The sequence below is a fragment of the Homo sapiens genome, chromosome 10 (assembly GCF_000001405.40).
Source record: "Homo sapiens chromosome 10, GRCh38.p14 Primary Assembly".
Classification (NCBI taxonomy): Eukaryota; Metazoa; Chordata; class Mammalia; order Primates; family Hominidae; genus Homo; species Homo sapiens.
The window spans coordinates 74,521,239-74,541,296 of record NC_000010.11 but is presented as its reverse complement, the minus strand read 5'-3'; the positions used below and the strand labels follow the sequence as shown (position 1 = coordinate 74,541,296).

The following is a 20,058-nucleotide window of genomic DNA, read 5'->3' as shown; positions in this document are numbered from 1 at the left end:
ATGCCTGTAATCCCAGCACTTTGCGAGGCCAAGGCAGGCCAATCACCTGAGGTCAGGAGTTCGAGACCAGCATGGCCAACATGGCGAAACCCCGTCTCTACTAGTAATACAAAAATTAGCCAGGCATGGTGGCAGGAACTTGTAACCCCAGCTACTCAGGAGGCTGAGGCAGGAGAATTGCTTGAACCCGGAAGGTGGAGGTTGCAGTGAGCCGAGATGATGCCACTGCACTCCAGTCTGGGCAACAGAGCAAGACTCCATATCAAAATAAATAAATAAATAATAAAATAAAAATTAATGTTGATAAAATACCATTGACTAATCAATGGCACCTATTTAAATTTTGCTAATTATTTCCCTCATGTCAGAATTTTGGCTTCTTGACTCCTATTTTCTCTGTGAAAAACTCAAGAGCTAGGATAAAAGACAGGTTTTCTAAATTTAGGTCTAGCACTTTTTCTACTGTGATATAAATTTACAGTTTTTATTTATAAGGATGTCAATGTCATTAAATGATTTTTAATAAACAATAATTTTTGGCTGGGTGAGGTGTCTCACTCCTGTAACCCCAGCACATGGGAGGCCGAGGCAGGTGGATCACTTGAGGCCTGGAGTTCAAGATCAGCCTGGCCAACATGGCAAAACCCCATCTCTACTAAAAATACAAACATTAGCTGAGTGTGATGGCGCATTCCTGTAATCCCAGCTATGTGGAAAGCTGAGACTTGAGAATCGCTTGAACCTGGGAGGTGGAGTTTGCAGTGAGCCGAGATTGCATCACTGTACTCCAGCCTGGGTAACAGAGTGAGACCTTGTCTCAAAGAAAAAAAAAATTAAAGGCATTAAATAAGAACATTAAATATATATTTAATATTTTTCATTATTTTTATATTATGGCATACTATACAAATAATACCAAAATAATCACTTACAAATTTATAGTACAGTAACTGAAACAAATAAAGATTAATAGAAATAGTGAATAAAATAGAAAGGCATTACTGCATAAAATATGATTATCTCCGTAGTAATTCAAACTATTTCAAATTACACAGTGTTTTTCTTTACTTGAGTGTATTTATTTTCTCCTTGCAATTAAAAACATTTAAATGCTCTTCTTAATTTTCTAATAATTTTTTTTAATTTTTAAAAATCAACACATAATAATTAGATGGCTTTTTACCAGTGATGGATGTTAGATTGGGGATGATTTAAAAGCATTTCATCTTCAGAGAGGCAATGTAGTTGGCGTAAAGAGGGAGACGAAGGAGTAAGAAAGAAAGGAGAGAGCTATGTAGAAAGGAAGAGAGATGCAGAGCATATAGTTAAATAGCCTTTGCATTTTCTGAATCTTTCCCATAGCACATCTTTACAACATGCCACTGACATCAGAAGTCTCCCTTGTGCTACAGTCAATCTCACTTTTTTCAGATGAGTAAATATATTAGAAAAACCCTAGGGAGAAAGTTAAATCTAGGAGCTGAGCAGCAATTTTACGAAGTTACAGTTCCATGTTAACTGAAATTTCATTATCCTTCTCAGAAAATACAACTATGTCAGAATTTCTTCCAAAAAGCACCATAAGTTTTTGTTTTTTTTTCTGAAGGGGTTATGTATATCCTCCGATAAAGTTTCTTTCCCAATTCCTTGATGATTTTATAACAACCTTACATTTTGTCTACATAGCCCCTCTTATCACTTATAGCAGAAAAAGGGGAATAAAGAGATCTATATGCACAGTCTCAGAAAGGGGACTTCCACCTCTCTTAGGAAGAAACAGGGCACTTCTGTATACTTTAAAGGGCAGAGTTACCATTTTTAGATACAGCCCCATTTCCCTCAATTCATGGGGGAAATATTCTGATATGAAGAAAGAAAAGATCATCTCTTTTGTCAGAATACGGATCTAGGTAACAGTCTTGAATTCCTGGAAATACTTGGAAATCACATCCTTTAAAGAATTAGACTTGGCCAGGCTTGGTCGCTCATGCCTGTAATCCCAGAACCTTAGGGAGGCCAAGGCGGGAAGACTGCTTGAGGCCAGGAGTTTGAGAACAGCCTGGACAACACAGTGAGACCCTGTCTCTAACTGATAATAAATAAATAAATAAAAGAACTAGACTTGACAAAATTTTTTAAAAATTCAAACAAGAATTCTCTGTGTATAGGGACTTGACAGAAAGTTTCTTTTTTCCTCCCAAACATGTGCTCCAGTGCACAGAAAAATAGTTCTAAAAATTAAAATAATACCTTTACAAAGAAAAAAAGGCTCTTAACCAAAAGAAGAATATCTGAAAGAAGTTGTATGCATGTATAGCACTATTTGGTGTACATAATTACACATAGATTCACACAGATTTTTTATCTTAAAAGAGCAAATGACTTCTATTTTACAGAAGTATAGAAACTGAAAAATAAGATAACCTGTATCAAAGTTATTTACAATTTAAAGAATTGATGGTTTCAAATTATTAATTAACTATTAGAAACATTAAAAAGGGTTTAAAAGTGTAAACAAAATATCAATAAAGTCTCTTCCCATCCCCATGGCAGTAAAATATATAACAGAAGAAAAAGCCAATGTATCCCATCTGGTTTAGTAAAAAGATAATGATAGTTTACTTATAAAGAGATACAAGCATCATTCAGGCTTAGAGGACATGGATAACAAACCTAAAGACATTTTTATATTTTCTTTCAAAATGTCCTGATCTATCTAGCAGTCTTTCTGTTTTTGGCATATCCTGTCCAAATATGAGTGAAGCTACTCAACAACAAAAAACAACCACAACAAACTGCAGAATTTTGCTCACTGTTTTGTAATTCGTTTGTTGATAAACGAGATTTTTTAAAAGTTAAATCAATATGTAAAGAAAGTAATTTCCATTTTCTTGGTGTATATTAGAGATTTTTAATATATTGAATCCTCTGTGAGGTTAACAGACAAAATGGCTTTCCTATAAGAAAATTTGCAATGCAGGAACACTGCCAGCAAAAGGACTGATGAAGCAGAGCAATACATTACCTTTTTTTTTTTTTTTGTGAGACGGAGTCTCGCTCTGTTGCCAGGCTGGAGGGCAGTGGTGTGATCTTGGCTAGCTGCAACCTCCGCCTCCAGGGTTCTCAGGATTCTCCTGCCTCAGCCTCCTGAGCAGCTGGGACTATAGGCGCGTGCCACCACACCCAGCTAATTTTTGTGTTTATTAGAGATGGGGTTTCACCATGTTGGCCAGGCTGTTCTGGAACTCCTGACCTCAGGTGATCTGCCCACCTTGGTCTCCCAAAGTGCTGGGATTACAGGCATGAGCCACTGCACCTGGCCTATATTATCTTTATAAATTGAAGTCATTTGTGAAATTCAAAATACTAGATATGAGGGGGAGCTTTATCTAAAGCATATCATTCTTATCCCTATGAAAAAATTTAACTGAATTCTTCTGCCCCATTTCAAACTGTTATTTTATTATTGAAACTATCTTAAAGTGCATGGTATGGGTGATTTGACTTTTCACTGTGGAGTTAAGTGGTAACTCTTGACAAAGCAGTTATTATCATGAGATAATTGACTGTATTTGAGAGTTAAGCATCCTGAGGCAAAGTTGAGTGTACTTAATCCTTGCAGGTTAATTATCTAGTGATTATGGAGCCTTGAAAGGCATTACTCCTAAGAACCATTTGCAAAATGACATAATTTAAAAAAACCTTCTTAATTTAATAAAAATGAAAAACAAGAATAATCAAGTTCTTTAGTCATCTACTGCTAGATAATGACTACAAAGCAGCTTGCATTAAGGGGCATCAATGGATTATAATTACCTTTGTGTAGAATGTCCTTTATTAAGCTGCTTTCGTGTGAATGTAGCTAACAAATGGTTGTTGCTGAAGGGAAAATTTCAAACTTTGAAGATGTCAGAAACAAATTAAAACTACAATGTAATATTTAAAGAGTTTTTAAACTACAGTAATTTTGGAACTACTTTAACAAGGATAACCAATCAATTCAGATGTGTAATTTAAAAGTACAAAATGCAATGTAACAGGTTACCAAAGATTTTAAATTAAAGAAACAGAAATTTGTCACTATGTATTTCTGAACCTTGGCTGAAAGTAAACCACACAAATCAAAACCAAAGTGAGATGCCACCTCGTGCCCAGCAGGATGGCTATTATTTTTTAAATGCAAAATAAGTGTTGGTGAGGAGGTGGAGAAATTGGAACCCTTGTGTATTGATGGTAGGAATGTAAAATGGTGTACCTGTTGTGGATCCAACAGTTCCACATCTAGGTATATATCCAAAAGAGTTAAAAGCAGGAACTCAAACAGATACTTGTTCATTAACATTCACAGTAGCATTGTTCATAATAATCAAAGGTGGAAACAAATTAAATGTCTATCAACAAAATGAAGCAAAAAACAAAATTTCACACATACAATGAAATATTATTCAGCCTTAAAAAAGATGAAATTCTGATAACATGCTATAACATGGATGAAGTTTAAAAAGATTATGCTAAGTGAAATTAAGTCAGACAACTTTTGTATGATCCTACTTGTATGAGGTACCTAAAATAGGCAAATTCATAGATAGACAGTAAAACAGTTACCAAGGGTGAGGAGGAAGGAGGAAACAGGAAATAGTGAGTTATTGTTTAATGGGTACAGAGCTTCTGCTTGGGTTGATTAAAAAAAAAAAAAGTTCTGGAGAGGAATAGTGGTGATGGCTGTACAACATTGCAAATGTACTTAATGCCACTGATTTGTACACTTAAAAATAGTTAAAATGGTCTAAATTTTATATTGTGTATTTTTTTTTTACCAGAATTAAAAAAAGAAAGTAAATTGTATCATTTAGTAATTATAATCTGGTTATATCACAAGAACATAGCAATGGTATTACTGTGGATACTTCACTTTTTGTCCCAGCACGTGTCTAACCAAATATTTTCAGGTATTTTTTGGAGAGAAATATCATTTCCCCTAGGTTCACTAAACAAAAAAGGAATACTGGGGTCACAAATGGGGAGAATTCAGCTTCAAAGGCACTACAGTTAAGGCTACACTCATAATAAAAAATCAGAACTACCTAAAAGAAATGTCAGGCATTATTTTACATGTTAAAAGAGGAACTTTATTAATTTATAATAAAATCTAACAGTATTAATCTTAGAATGTGGAAAAAAAATGAATCATCAGTTTTATAACATGTTTAAGCTTTAAGAAAAAATTTAAAAGATTATCTAGTATTTCTATGCAAATCCCCTCAATTTACAGATGAGGAAAAGGAATAGTAGTTGATAAATAAATCAGAGTGATGATTAAATTAAGGGAACAAAAAATAGCTTTCATAATCTAAACATTTTATTTTAATATATAAAGATACATCATTTGCTAATATTTAAAATAGGGTCAGCTGGGTGGGGGGCTCACACCTGTAATCTCAGCACTTTGGGAGGCAGAGGTGGGCAGTTCAAAATCACTTGAGGCCAGGAGTTCAAAATCAGCCTGGCCAACATGGCAAAACCCCATCTCTACTAAAAATACAAAAATTAGCCAGGCATGGTTGTGCACGCCTGTAGTCTCAGCTACTCGGGAAGCTGAGACACGAGAATTGCTTGAACCTGGGAAGTGGAGGTTGCAGTGAGCTGTGATGGTGCCACTGCACTCCAGCCTAGGCAATAAGAGCAAGACTCTGTCTCAAAAAAAAAAAAAAAAAAATAGGGTCAAAACCTTTGAGCATGCCTACAGACTGACATTCTAGAGTTTTTCTTGTAGAACCACATCTAGAATTCATAGTTTATGAATTCTCATTTTACTTTCTTAAAAATTTTATTTTTAGACAGGGTCTTACTCTGTTACCCAGACCGGAGTGCAGTTGCATGATCGTAGCTCACTGCAGCCTCAACCTCCCAGGTGCAAGCGATCCTCCCACCTTAGCCTCCCGAATAGCTGGGAATACAAGTGTGTGCCACCATGCCTGGCTAATTTTAAGAAAATAATTGGAGAGATGGGGTCCAACTATGTTGCCCAGGCTGGTTTCCAACACCTCTGCTCAAGCAATCCTCCCACTTCAACCTCCCAAAGTGCTAGGATTACAGGTGTGCGCTATGGTTCCTGGCCTAGTTTCAACTTCTTTAAAGCAGAGAGAAAACATAAAAACACCTATGAAGCACTCCTGAATACAGATGTTTACAGCTTTTTACTGCCTTTAATCTTTTATACTTTTCATGCCCACATCCAATTCAATAGCAACATTAAAAATAACTCATATGTATTTAGTTTTGGAACCAACCTTAACTCATTAAACTAATTCTCATTCTACTTGCATTCATATTTCATCAGAATATATAATGTTAAATAATTAAATAATGAACACAAATTTCACCAAGTTTAGGAAAAACATAATTAACTTTTGTAAGCAAATAACTTTGTTGGAACAGAAGTAAGGTGGTATAGCAGAGAGCAGCCCAATAGCTGTGAGTTTTCCCTCATGCACTTGGTACTATATTCATTATGTTTTAACAGGAATGAATGAAGAGTGTGAGTTATCAAAGCAAGTTAAAGTGAAGTGAAACTTAATAGATAACATGATCAATACTCCTAAAACTACTACCAACATTACCTAACAAAAATTGAGAATATATTCCATGAGCCAAGCTGAAACTTTACATGCATTAGAAAAACACATGGAATTGCCTTGTAGATTAAATGACGGTTTTTGTGAATACCCTTTTTAACTTTAAAGCATTATTCAATGGTAGGTTATGATAATTTTTAGTTGTCATGATTAGAACCCAGGACTATCAAAACACTCTTCCTCTGGCTTGACATTGCTACTTAAATATAAGGGGATCTTCCATGGAAATAACAGAAGTTTCATATATGGTGATCAAAAAATAACAAATTGGCACTTCTTCATTTTAGCAGTGTATTTTTGGAACTTAATGGCTTTAGAATAATGTTTCCTACTTTTAAACATATAAATGGAATCAAAGTATATATTCATTTTAATAGCTTTACTGAGGTATAACTGACATACAATTATCTGCACAAACTAAAAGTGTTTAATTAGATAAAACTTGACGTATGTATAAAGTACTGCAACCACAACCTCAATGGGAACACATCTATTACTCCTAAAAGTTTCCTCATGCCCGTTTGTGATCACTGCCTCATAGCATAACCCTGTCCCCAGACAACAATGGATCTGCCATCACCATAAATTTGTTAGCACTTTCTAGAATATAAATAGAATCATATAGAATGTACTTTACAGTATCTTACACTCAGCATAGGTATTCTAAAATTCTTCTATGCTGTTGGTTCATTTCTTATCAATAGTACAATTCTTTTATAGTTGAGTAGTATTCTATTCTATGGAAATATCACAATTTGTTTAACCAGTTACTAGTTGTGGATGTTTGGTTTGTTTTCCAGACTTTGGCCATTACAAATAAAGCTGCTATAAACACCTGTGTATGTCTTTACATGGACAGATGCTTTCATCTGTCCTGGGTGAATATCTAGGAGTGGGATAGCTAGGTCATTTGGAGGATGTATATTTAACTTTGTAAGAAACAAGAACACCATTCTCCAAAGTAGTTGTACCATTTTACATTCTAGCTGCTCCATATATCCTTACCAATATTTGGTATGGTCACACTTTCAGACATTCTAATAGCCGTGCAGTTGTTTGTTACGTGGGTTGAAGTTTGCGTTTTTAGATATGGATATTTAATTGCTCCAGAACGACTTGTCAAAAAGACTGTTTTCTTCCTCCATGAAAAAGCCTCTGAAACATTGTTGAAAAATAAATTTAGGTCTATTTCTGGACGTTCCCTTCTGTTCCATTGACTATTTGTCTATCATTACACCAATGCCACATTGTCTGGATTACTGTAGCTTTGTAATAAGTCTTCAAATCATGTAAAGGTCTTCTGATTTGGTTTTTAAAATCCACGTTGGTTTGGCTACTCTAGTCCAGTGCTTTTCCATATAAATATTAGAATCAACTTGACTTTAAAAAAAACTTCTGAAATTCTGACTGAATTACACTAAACTATAGATTATTTTGAGTAGAATTTATATTTAACAATACAGAGTCTTCTAATCTATGAACATGATATATCTCCCATTTGGGTCTTCTTAAATTTTTTCAACAATGTTTTGTAGTGTTCAGTGTATACATCTTTGGTCTGGTTTATCCCAAAGTAAATACTTTGTTATACTTTTTGATGGTATTGGAAATCGTATTTTTAAATTTCTGGTTGTTTCTTGCTAATATAGAAAAATACATTTGAGATTTAAATTTTTTATTCTGTATGCTACAATCTTGCTACGTCACTTAGTTCTAATAGCTTTTTTTTTTTTTTTTTTTTTGAGACAGAGTCTTGCTCTGTCGCCCAGACTGGAGTGCAGTGGCATGATCTCGGCTCATCGCAACCTCCGCCTCCTGGGTTCTCCTGCCTCAGGTCAGCCTCCCGGGTTCTCCTGCCTCAGCCTCCCAAGTAGCTGGAATTACAGGCGTGTGCCACCATGCCCAGCTAATTTTTGTATTTTTAGTAGAGACGCGGTTTTGCCATGTTGGCCACACTGGTCTAGAACTCTTGACCTCAAATGATCCACCAGCCTCGGCCTCCCAAAGTGCTGGGATTACAGGCGTGATGCACTATGCCCAGCCAGTTCTAATAGCTTTTTGAAGATGACATCAGATTTTGTATGAAGATGATCATGCTTTTGATAATAGAGACAGTTTTACTTCCTTCTTTCTAAATCTGGATTTTTTCATGCTTCTACTATTCCAAGGGTTTTTTTTTTTTTTTTGACACAGTTTCACCCTGTTGCCCAGGCTGGCGTGTGGTGGCATGATCTTGGCTCACTGCAACCTCTGCCTCCCCAGTTCAAGCGATTCTCCTGCCTCAGCCTCCCAAGTAGCTGGAATTACAGGTGCCCACCAACATGCCCTGCTATTTTGTGTATTATTAGTAGAGATGAGGTTTTGCAATGTTGGCCAGGCTGGTCTCAAACTCCTGACCCTCACCAATCCCTATTGGGATTGCAGGCATGAGCCACCATGCCCAGCCTCCGAGGGCTTTTAACAGAAATAGATGTCTGGATTTTTCAAAAGCTTTTAGGATAATCATGTGATTTTTCTTTTTAGTCTTAACATATTTAATTACATTGATGGATTTCAAAATGCTAAACCAATTCTACACTCCTAGTCATGATGAATTACTCTTTTAATATATTGTTCGGTTTGATGTGCTAAAATTATTTGAAGAATTTTTACATCTGTGTTTATGAGGGATATTGGTCTGTAGTTTTCTTGCAATACTTTGTTTTTGGTATGAAGGTAATGCTGACCTCATGAAATAAGATAGGTATATTTCTCCCTCTTCAATTTTCTGGGACAGTTTGTATACAATTGGTACTACATCTTTCTGAAATCTGTGTTAAAATTCAACACTGCCAAGTGCAGTGGCTCATGCTTGTAATCCCAGCACTTTGGGAGGCTGAGGTAGAAGGACTCGCTTCAGTGCAGGAGGTTGAAACCAGCCTGGGCAACAAAACGAGACCTCCTCTCTACAAAAATTAAAAATTAGCCAGCTGTGGTGGTTTGCACCTGTCGTCCTAGCTTCTCGGGAGGTTGAGGTAGGAGGATCATTTGAACCCAGGAGTTTGAGCTTGCAGTGAGACATGATTGTGCCATTGTATTATAGCCTGGGTGAGAGAGTGAGACCTTGTCTCAAAACAAACAAACAAACAAACAGAAAAGAATTAAACACTGAAGCAATTCAGCCTTTGAAGTTTCTTTGTAGCAAGGGTTTTAACTACAAATTCAATTTCTTTAATAATCTAAACAGACTTTTTCTATTTCTTCTTGAGTATGATTTAGTACTTTGTGTCTTTTAACAAATTTGTCCATTTCATAAAGGTTGTCAAATATATTGTAATAATATTGACAGGAGGGACCAGAACATCTAGTCTAGAGCTGATTTTAACCTGCTAATGAGACAAAATTCCTTTTAATACTCTACTTGAAGCCTCGTGAATTACGAGGTTATCCACTCTGACTAGTAGGATAGGAATGGTTATAGGTCCTCATGTGTGCACTGAGGATTGTCTTCTACAATCTTTTTAGGTGGTTCTTTTTGTGGTCTTCCTTAATTTCTTCACAAAAATGCACTGATTCATACTCAGCTGAAGACTTGTTGGGATTCTGCAAATGTCCTGTGTTCTCCCTCTATTCAGCTATTTCTTCTCTGGTACTTTTAACTTACAAACACTAGCTGTCTTAGACTCCTTGAACTTCCGGCTCCAACTCCTCATTAAAAGAGACTGCAAGGGTCTACTTGAGATACCCTTCTTTTTTCTTTTTGAGACAGAGTCTCAATCACACTGGCTGGAGTGCAGTGGTGCAATTTTGGCTCGCTGCAACCTCTGCTTCCCAGGTTCAAGTAATTCTCATGCCTCAGCCACCCGAGTAGCTGGGATTACAGGCGCACAACCACCCTGCCAGGCTTTTTTGTATTTTTAGTAGAGAGGGGGTTTCACCATGTTGGCCAGGCTGGTCTTGAACTCCTGACCTCAAAGGATCCACTCGCTTCAGCCTCCCAAAGTGCTGGTATTACAGGCGTGAGCCACTGTGCTTGGCCTTAGTTACCTTTCTTCTGTTGCCTGGAAATTATCTCCAAGGAGTTAGCTGGGGTAATCATCAGGTTTATCTTATTTATTTCTTGTCTCACAGGGATCATTGATCATTGCCTGTGAAGAAATAATCTTTGTGGACAAGGTATTATTTTTTTTAAATATTGAGGCTATCAGAAGTTTTAAATCATCATTACTACTGTACAATCCTCTGACAAGAGGAAGGTGACATGTAGAAAATAAGGGCCAAGTGTGTTTGATTTTAGCTGAGTTTTGACATTTTAAAAATTTATACTAAACACAGTATACTTTATTTTTTTGAGGGGGGAAATATTAAAGAATCCTACGTATATTCTCTGATAACTATATTTTATCCTTCGTCACATTTTAGAAGTAAAATGTCTCTTTTTTCCTGGAAAACTGAAGATAACATTATCACTATAGTATTCAAGGAGAAAAACAATGGATGATGAGATTAAAGGGATAAAGCATTTTACTCTACTTGCTTTTTATAATCAAATACGATATAATTTTTATTATCCCTATTAAATTTCATCACTCAACTGATATTTAGAGTCTACTAACATTTAAAAAAATCTGATTTTGACCTTCAACTTACCTAGTATGTATTAAGGTGTTGTATTATTTGCATTTGAATTATATGCAAATATAGCTTTATCTAAATCACTGTTTACTTAAGCAAAGGCAGGGTAAACACTGAGGCGTACCCCTAGAAATCAATTTATTTATCAACAGACCTTTTGAGACTGCTTCAATAAAATACCAAATACCTCTAATTGTCTTATAGCCAATCTTTATTATTCTATAGTCCACGTAATGACAGATGTTCTAAAATATACTATGTATCCACTGCTTATTGGTCTGCCATAATAGGTACTTAGGTACTATATAAATACCTCTTGAAGCGAATTCAAATGAACAATAATCATACCAAAAGAGAAAAGATTTTCTTGCCCCATGACTTACAGCCACGTAGCAGCTTACAGTTTTACCACTTCCTCTTCTAGGTGGGGAAAAATAATTCCTTTAATAATCTATGCTAAGCTGTGATCCAACTTTTAAGTTTACTGATTTGTAGAATAAAACTTTTTCAAAAAAATTGTGGTAAACTATACATATGATAAAATTTTCCATTTTAAGTATGCAATTCATTGGCACTAAATACATTCACAGTGTGGCGCAACTATCACCACTATCCATTTCCAGAACTTTTTCATCATCCCAAACAGAAGCTCTGTACTTATTACACAATAATGCCTCATTCCTCCCCACCCCACTCCCAGGTAATCACTATCCTACTATGTGTCTCTATGAATTTGCCTATTCTAGATACTTCTTGTAAGTGGAATTCTTCTTAGAAAATCCAATAATTGTCTGATGTGTCTGGCTTATTTTACTTAACATAGTATTTCCAAAATTCATTCATGTTGTAGCATGTATCAAAATTTTATTTAAGGCTAAATAATACTCCATTGTATATATACATGAAATTTTGTTTATTCATCTGTTGATGAATATTTGATTTGCTTCTATCTTAGCTATTGTGAATAATGCTGCTATGGACATTGGTGTACAATTATCTGAGTCCCTGCTTTCAGTTATTTTGGGTAATATACCTAGAAGTAGAACTGCTAGATCATATGGTAATAATTCTATGTTTAACATTTTGAGGAACCACCAAATTGTCTTCTACATTCCCATTTTACATTCCCACCAGCAATACACAAGTGTTTCCAATTTCTCCACATCTTCACCAATACTTGTTAATTTCCATTTTTTAAAACAATTGTCATTCTGATGGGTGTGAAGTGGTATCTAATTTTGGTTTTGATTTGCACTTCTTGAATGGTTATGTTGAGCATCTTTTCATGTGTTTACTGGCCATCTGTATATCTTCTTCGAATAAATGTTTATTAAATTCCTTTGATCATTATTGAATTATGTTGTTAGTTTGCTTATTGTTGAGTTGTTACTGTGTTAAATATTCTGAATATGAATCCTTTATCAGATATATGATTTGCAAATATTAACTCCCATTCCACTAGTTGTCTTTTCACATTCTTGTTAGTGTCCTTCGATGCCCAAAAATTGTTAATTTTGATGATGTCTAATTTATCTATTTTTTCCATTTGTTGCTTGTACTTTGGAGTCTTTTTTTTTTTTTTAAGTGAAGATTGTTTTGATATCATCAGCATCTGCTGCAAACTTAAACCACTTTTGGGACTTTCTTTTCTCTTTTGTCTCTACCAAACTTTTAGCATCATTCCCTGATTCTAAATACATTTTCCACCTTCTTTTTACATGTCTTTTACAAATTTGAGCTTTTTTTTTAAGTTTTAAAACTTTTATAAGTTCAGTGTTGTCACTGTATGTTTACATATTCATTGATACAATTTACATCGAGATTTTTACTTATCCATTTTTGCAGATATGTACACAAAGATACATATTCAATAACTGAGAAACAAGTGAAACTTCTGATCTATACTTTCAGGTTTGTTCGATCATGACACTTCTGATAAGGATCATGGACATACCAGTTTCACCTCTTCCAGAAGGACGTCGTCATTTTATCTTAAGAGTTTACTCTGGGTTTTATTGCCGAATACAAATTCCCTCAATCGCTTTTTTCTTGCAGGTGCCTTTTTCCATAATTTTTTCTTATAACCAGCCCTTCTCATCCAAAGGCCACAATGAAGTCGAAGAAACCTATAGATGACAGCTTTCACAATCCTTCTCTTGCCTTTTCCTGTACTGACGTATGTTAGAGATCTGGCTGGCAGCTTCAAGACACTTGGAAGCAAGAGGGCCACTCTATTAAGGATCGCTGAAGTATGCCCACATGTCAGGTTTCTCTCAGATGTGGTAAGTCTGGGAGTGGAGGAAACAACTGGTGTCTGAATATGACTAAAACGTCCAGTGGACAATGCAGAAATAAGAGAGGCATTTTTGACACAGTTTTGGTAGGCTGAAGATGCCAAAATATTCAGAGGCCATAAGATTCCTGAAGCTGCTCTCACTGCACCGGCAAAGGCAGAGGCAGCTATCTCGTTATCCTCCAAATTTGAGCTCTTATTAAAGAGTTTTCTGCGTGCTCTGCTATATTTTTTCAAAAGGTCCCTCCACATTCTCTCCTTAATTAAGATCATTTGTGACTATAAAGTCCAAATAGCATTTTTTATGGCATTCAATCTCCCTAAGCTTTCTTTACTTCCAAAGTTTCATTCTTTGGAATCATATTTATGTTTTTTTTTTTTTGTTTGTTTGTTTTTTGAGACGGAGTCTCGCTCTGTCCAGGCTGGAGTGCAGTGGCGCGATCTCGGCTCACTGCAAGCTCCGCCTCCTGGGTTCACGCCATTCTCCTGTCTCAGCCTCCCGAGTAGCTGGGACTACAGGCACTCGCCACCACGCCTGGCTCATTTTTTGTATTTTAAGTAGAGACGGGCTTTCACCGTGTTAGCCAGGATGGTCTCAATCTCCTGACCTCGTGATCCACCCGCCTCTGCCTCCCAAAGTGCTGGGATCACAGGCGTGAGCCACCGTGCCCGGCCTCTTTGGAATCATATTTATCTTTTTTAAAAGTTTTAAGATTTGTCTCTTAAACTCTAGAGAACTTATTTAAGTGCTGCCAGTCTGATCTTTCTTGACTATTTAGAACTCTGAGACCAAATGTTAACTTCTCCCAATGATTCTCAAGACTACTGAGACCAATGCTTTAATGTTATTCAAAAGGCTTGAATAGCACTTTTCCCATTTACTTCTTTTACCCTTTACAAAATAAAACTGTTAATAAGGAAAAACTAAATGGTAGATCTTAGTCAAATTAGGCTTCTAGCAGTTATATGGCACTTGGCTATTACCACTATTTCTTGCCAGTATCTCAATTTGTGAATTATCAAGAATATAGCATTTCCTTCCAATGTCACCATTTATAACCAATGTAACCATCACCTTTGCAGATACACTGTGATATTATTTCTATGGATCATCCTTTAATCTTTACCCAGGTGATCTCGTAAACTTCCAGGTCAATTTTTATGTTATTCTAGGCAGATGGCAGTTATTAGATATAAAATTGATGAATATATTCAAACTATGTTAGAACTATGGAATTAGAATCAGAATGAACTTCTGGGATGATTAATACAATACCTTCATTGTATACATTAAACCATCAAGTGACATGGCCAAGTCATAGGAAGACACACTGAAGGATTTTTTCCTCTTTCATGGATTTTTAAAGAGGTATAAACAGTAAATAAGAGGTATAAACAGTAAACAAGCAATCAAAGTAAATAAGCATTTAAGTAAATAAGCATTTCCATAATTTAGAATGGAAGAAAATACATTCTTGGTAGAAAGAAAAAACTGTACTTGTTGAGATGAAATTCCATTTTATCACCTTCAACTATAACAGACAATATTTTAAAAATATTATTAATAAAGAAATATAAATGTAATATATCAAAATTTACTCATAATTTATTAAACAAATATCAAATGGACTTAGACTCTGAAGAGACTTAAAAAAGTGATGAATGTGCTTTTTTATCCTGATTGTGGTCATAGTAACAGGACAGGTATCCATCTGTAAAAACTCACAGAAATTACAGTAAAAAGGATGACTCTTACTATAAGTAAATCAAACGTCAAACACCTTAAAAAAATAAATGTTGGGCCGGGCACAGTGGCTCATACCTGTAATCCTAGCACTTTGGGAGGCTGAGGCGATCAGATCACCTGAGGTCAGGAGTTCGTGACCAGCCTGGCCAACATGGTGAAACCCTGTCTCTACTAAAAACACAAAATTTAGCTGGGCATGGTGGCATGCGCCTATAACCCCAGCTACTTAGGAGGCTGAGGCAGGAGAACTGCTTGAACCCGGGAAGGAGAGGTTGTAGTGAGCCAAGATCATGCCATTATACTCCAGCCTGGATGAAAAGAGGGAAACTCCACCTCAAAAAAATAAAAATATAAAAATAAATAAATAAATGCTTCACTAAGAAAGAAGTTAGTATATACTGAAGGAAATATTGAAAATACTGAGAGCAGTTGACATTGAGGCAATTTTGTTGCACAATTCTCAAGGACATTTACACAAAAATTTAGGATTTAATTTATATATTTCTAAACATATATACACACATCAGAAATAAACAAACAAAAAACCCCCAGGTTCTTTTGAAAAAGGAAAGGTAACTCACTGTCTCATTTCCAAAAAGTATATCAACATAAGGCATAACTTTCATCAATGATTCCTTGTAGAACTGGCTAATAAACGGTGCAGATAGATTCAAAGTGAAAATCCTGTTGTTTTCAGAAGCATGGTGAGCCACCTTTAATACTGACTCTGGGGAAACTGTAAGAAAAAAGCCCTGGATGAAGAAAAAAGGAGGGAAAATTAGAAATACCATCTCCACAGTCACTCTCAGTGAGAATAAAAGAAACCTATACAAAATACAAAAGTATATAAAATACAATTATAAGATGCAAGGCAGAAAATAGCAACATTTGACTGGAAGGATATTTGATCATATGAGTACCATATGCTTGATACATGCCATTACTTCAGAGAATAAAGCATTACTTATTTCATACTAGGTTTATATGCTCAATACTAAAGAATTCTGGAAATTCATGAAAGAAAAAATGTTTGAAAGGTCTCATTCAAGACAATAATTACATTCGAATTAGGGAAATTGTACTATGAAGGCAAACTGAATCCTTTTAGCTTCTTACAAACAGTTTGGAATATATATTTTTTGAGATAAGGTTTCACTATATTGCCCAGGCTGGTCCTGAACTCCTGGGATAAAGCAATCCTCCTACCTCAGCCCTCCAAGTAGCTGGGATTACAGGTGCACACCACTGAGCCTGGCTGAGTTTGTATTCTTATAAGTGACTTTAAAATAATCTGTTAATTAAGATCATAACTTCTGGCTGGGTACAATGAATCACACCTGGAATTCCAGCACTTTGGGAGGCCAAGGTGGGCCAATCACTTGAGTCTAGGAGTTCCAAACCAGCTTGGGCAACATGGCGGAACTCTGTCTCTACAAAAATTTCAAAAATTAGCTGGGTGTGTTGGTGTGTGCCTGTGGTCCCAGCTACTCATGAGACTGAGACGGGAGGATTGCTATAGCCCAGGTGGTGGAGGTTGAAGTGAGCCGAGATGACACCACTGCACTCCAGCCTGGGAAATACACGGAGACCTTGTCTCTATATCAATCAATCAATCAATCATAACTTGTTACCTTAAGAAATATCTAAATTGATTTTTGAGGAAGATTCTGAATTAGAATTTTCAAATAATGAGAAAAGAATGCAGTAATGCAAAAGAAAAATATTTAATTTTTCTTTAAAATTTTCTTTAAATTTCTTTAAAATTTCATGTCAGGAAAGCTGCATTTAAAATGCTATTTATGTACAGCTTTAATATTAATGAAAGTCTTATTAAAACATATTCATGCTTTCTAGAGGAAAGCATAAGCAAAGACATACATGTATATACAGGAAATTAGTTTGGATGGTGCACAAACAAGTAAAGGAATACACAAAGGGCAATAATAGAGACTTGAAAAGGTCGGCGAAGTTAAGAATACAAAGGGCCTTGGATGGCAGGGTAGGAATCTATTTGGTGGGCAATGTGCAAGAGGGGTAGGGGTGGATCATGGGTAATGAATATTTCCGTGAAAGGAAGGAATAACAAGCTTATGGGAAAATTTAAAGCAAAGTTAACCTGGGCAGCAACAATTCAGCAACAGTTAATAAATGTCTACATTTGGCTGTGTAAAAGAAAACCATATTAGGAGTACTACATACAGGACTTGGCAATTGTTTAAGATGTGGAAGGCAAAGAAGAAAAGAGTCAAAAGATGATTGAGATTTTTGAATCTGGTTCTACCATTAATAAAAGTGGAAAATTCCAGAATAAGATCTGGCTTAGATGGTAAAGAGTGTTTAGTTGTGGTCATACTACAGTTGAGGTTCTAAGGGATCTCTAAGTATCTACCAGAAAGTTGGACTTAGAGGAAAGGTCATGAAAGAGGTGAGGTCAAAGAGGTGGTGTAATTCCCAAGGCAGAGAACACAGAACAAAAGACGACGAAGGAAAAAATGGAGAACAAAAATTAGAGGAAATAAAAAAGGAAAAGGAGAAAACAAGAGGAGGCCAAATGAGGAGAGGAGAAGTGATGGTGGAGAAACTAAGCAAGGGAAATTTTAAGAAGGTGCTATGGGGAAGTAGAGAAAGAAAGGAATGAGTAAAAGTCATAAGATTTGATGATTAACAGAAAGCACTTAGTATGATGGTAGAAGTAGTTGTTAAAAAAGGAATGGTGAGAAAGTAAGGTAAGAATAATTATTTTCAAAGCTTCATCAGTAATGATAATAAAACCATCTGAAATGTAATGAGTAATTATTGTGTCCCAGGCACTATACTATACAGCAACTCAGTTATTGTTTTTTCCTTACATCAAACCTATGAGGTGGACATATTAGTTTCTTTTGATAAATAAAGCAAGATAGAGAAGTTAAGAGATGTTTCTTAGGACACACAGCTTACATGTGATGAAGCCTGGATTCATATGACTCCAGATATGTTGCTAATTTGAGCAGATAATAAGAGGAGGAAAAGGCACAAACGCTTTTTTGCGGGGAAGGGTGGGCAGGGAAGGGAGGAAAGAAGAGATTTGCTTTTAAGGGCAGGGAAAGTTGGAAAGATTTTGCTTTTCAAAGAAAAGGATCTATTGGAGAAATAGAAGAATGAAGAGGCAAGGGAGAGAGGATAATTAGAGCAAAGAACTAGAGGAAGTGGGAGCACTGGAAACTAGAAGGGGAGAAGAACTGGCTTATAAATGGAAGAAATAACCTTGAAAATATAAAAGAAACTTCTGTTAAAAGTTACAAAAATGCTACTGAGATATTCACTTATAACTGAGGGACCAACGATTTCCATAATGCAAACTCTGAAAAGTTTAAAAAGAAAAAAAAATCTTTTAAAATATTACTTTCAAATTTCAAATAGACTACAATAAGAAGACTAAAAAAATTAATTTAGTGGCAGGAGCCATGTGTATTGGGGTCCATCTTTTAAGGAAGGGTTTATTGCCTTTATACATATTCTGAGACGTTAAGAGAGAATCGTCTACTATAATTGTGTCAGGGCCCAGAATACAATACCCCAAAATATGGCCCCCTAGCAATTGAGAAAACCCGCAGAAGCAAGGTCACTCTGACCTTCTCCCACCTTTCTGTGTGAAAGCTGGCCATAAAACCCTTTTCCAAAGGGGTCCTGTCCTATACCTGGTGGCCAAGAATAATCTAACAGACAGGACTTGCTGGCTTCCACATCCTTCAACCCTAGGTTTATTACCATTAGATCATACCCCTTTTGTCTAATGTTTCTCTACAACTATCCATGTCTTTCATCAGACTTCGCATAAAAATACAGTTTTTGCTGGTCTTTGGGTCTTAATTTCTGAAGGCTCCTGTGTCATGTAAAACTTTGTTAAATAAATTATGCTTTTCTCTTGTTAATCTGTTTCGTTACAGAGGGTTCAGTCATGACCCTTGCGATGGATGAGGAAAATATGTTACTTTTTCTCCCCTACAACTGCCTCTTATCACTTTAAAGTACTGCTAGTGAAATTCTAAATGTTTTAGTATGTTTAGTGAAATACAAAATGTTTTTGTATAATAACAATATTTCTCATCATTTAAAAATTGAATCCATTAATTCTTTACCAATATTCAAGTGTTCTAAGAGGCAACAAATCTTAGTCTTAGTTATTATTTTTAAATGTTTTTATCTTTCTTTTTTAACCAAGTATCCTATCACTTGCAAACTATGAGCATCCAAGCTGCTGCTTTGCTATTTCTGTCACTTGGAGAATTAAAACGAACAGTTTATACAGCATCTTGTCTCCATAGTAATATGGATGTACTGTCTTGCTTTTTAGTCTTTCATTTAATGAGAAGATTTTAAAGCTTTCCCCCTCTATTTCTCCCCAAACTGTTCCAGCATCAAATAAAAACCTCCCATAGCTAGCATTCTGCCAGCTGTGGATTAACCACAGCCAGCCACAGAATGGTCTACATAAATAGTAACCTGGTCAAATAATTAGGCTTCTCACCAACTTCAGACTGAAAATTTGATCTGTGCTAAAATACATCTGATTGTAATTTAAGGTACAGAACACTGTGCCCCTGGAGTCTAAATCTGGCCCCAATCCAAATGTATGTATGCTGTGTGTGTGTTTTCCTTTAAAATACAACACAAGAGTCTTGTGATATGGATAGTATGATGTCAATTTTGTTAATTTTATAAATATACAAAACTTGTCAACTTTTAAATAAAAGGCAAATTCACTATTTAAATTCTATTTTTGAATG

The 20,058-nt window shown here is 35.7% G+C and overlaps 1 protein-coding gene, 1 long non-coding RNA gene and 1 pseudogene across 16 annotated transcripts in view; 1 reads left to right on the top strand and 2 right to left on the bottom strand.

The window, feature by feature from the left end:
• The window catches only part of ADK (adenosine kinase), a 558,070-nt gene that overhangs the window by 167,994 nt on the left and 370,018 nt on the right, over positions 1-20,058 (bottom strand). For 9 of the 15 annotated variants that reach the window (NM_006721.4, NM_001369123.1, XM_017015698.2 and 6 more), the window contains one exon: positions 15,871-16,041. The exons of 4 other annotated variants lie outside the window; for them this stretch is intronic. In NM_006721.4, the coding sequence (NP_006712.2) occupies positions 15,871-16,041 (171 nt within the window). Of the gene's footprint in view, positions 1-5,106; positions 13,538-15,870; positions 16,042-20,058 lie in introns of those variants that run through there. 2 more of the 15 variants (XM_017015704.2, XM_017015706.2) reach the window with 1 other exon arrangement.
• ADK-AS1 (ADK antisense RNA 1) overlaps positions 11,973-20,058 on the top strand; it is a 22,827-nt gene continuing 14,741 nt past the window's right edge. The window contains exons 1-2 of the long non-coding RNA NR_120673.1: positions 11,973-12,004; positions 13,305-13,531. This is a non-coding gene — a long non-coding RNA (ADK antisense RNA 1). The remainder of the gene's footprint in view (positions 12,005-13,304; positions 13,532-20,058) is intronic.
• Positions 13,201-13,715, bottom strand: MRPL35P3 (mitochondrial ribosomal protein L35 pseudogene 3; annotated as a pseudogene).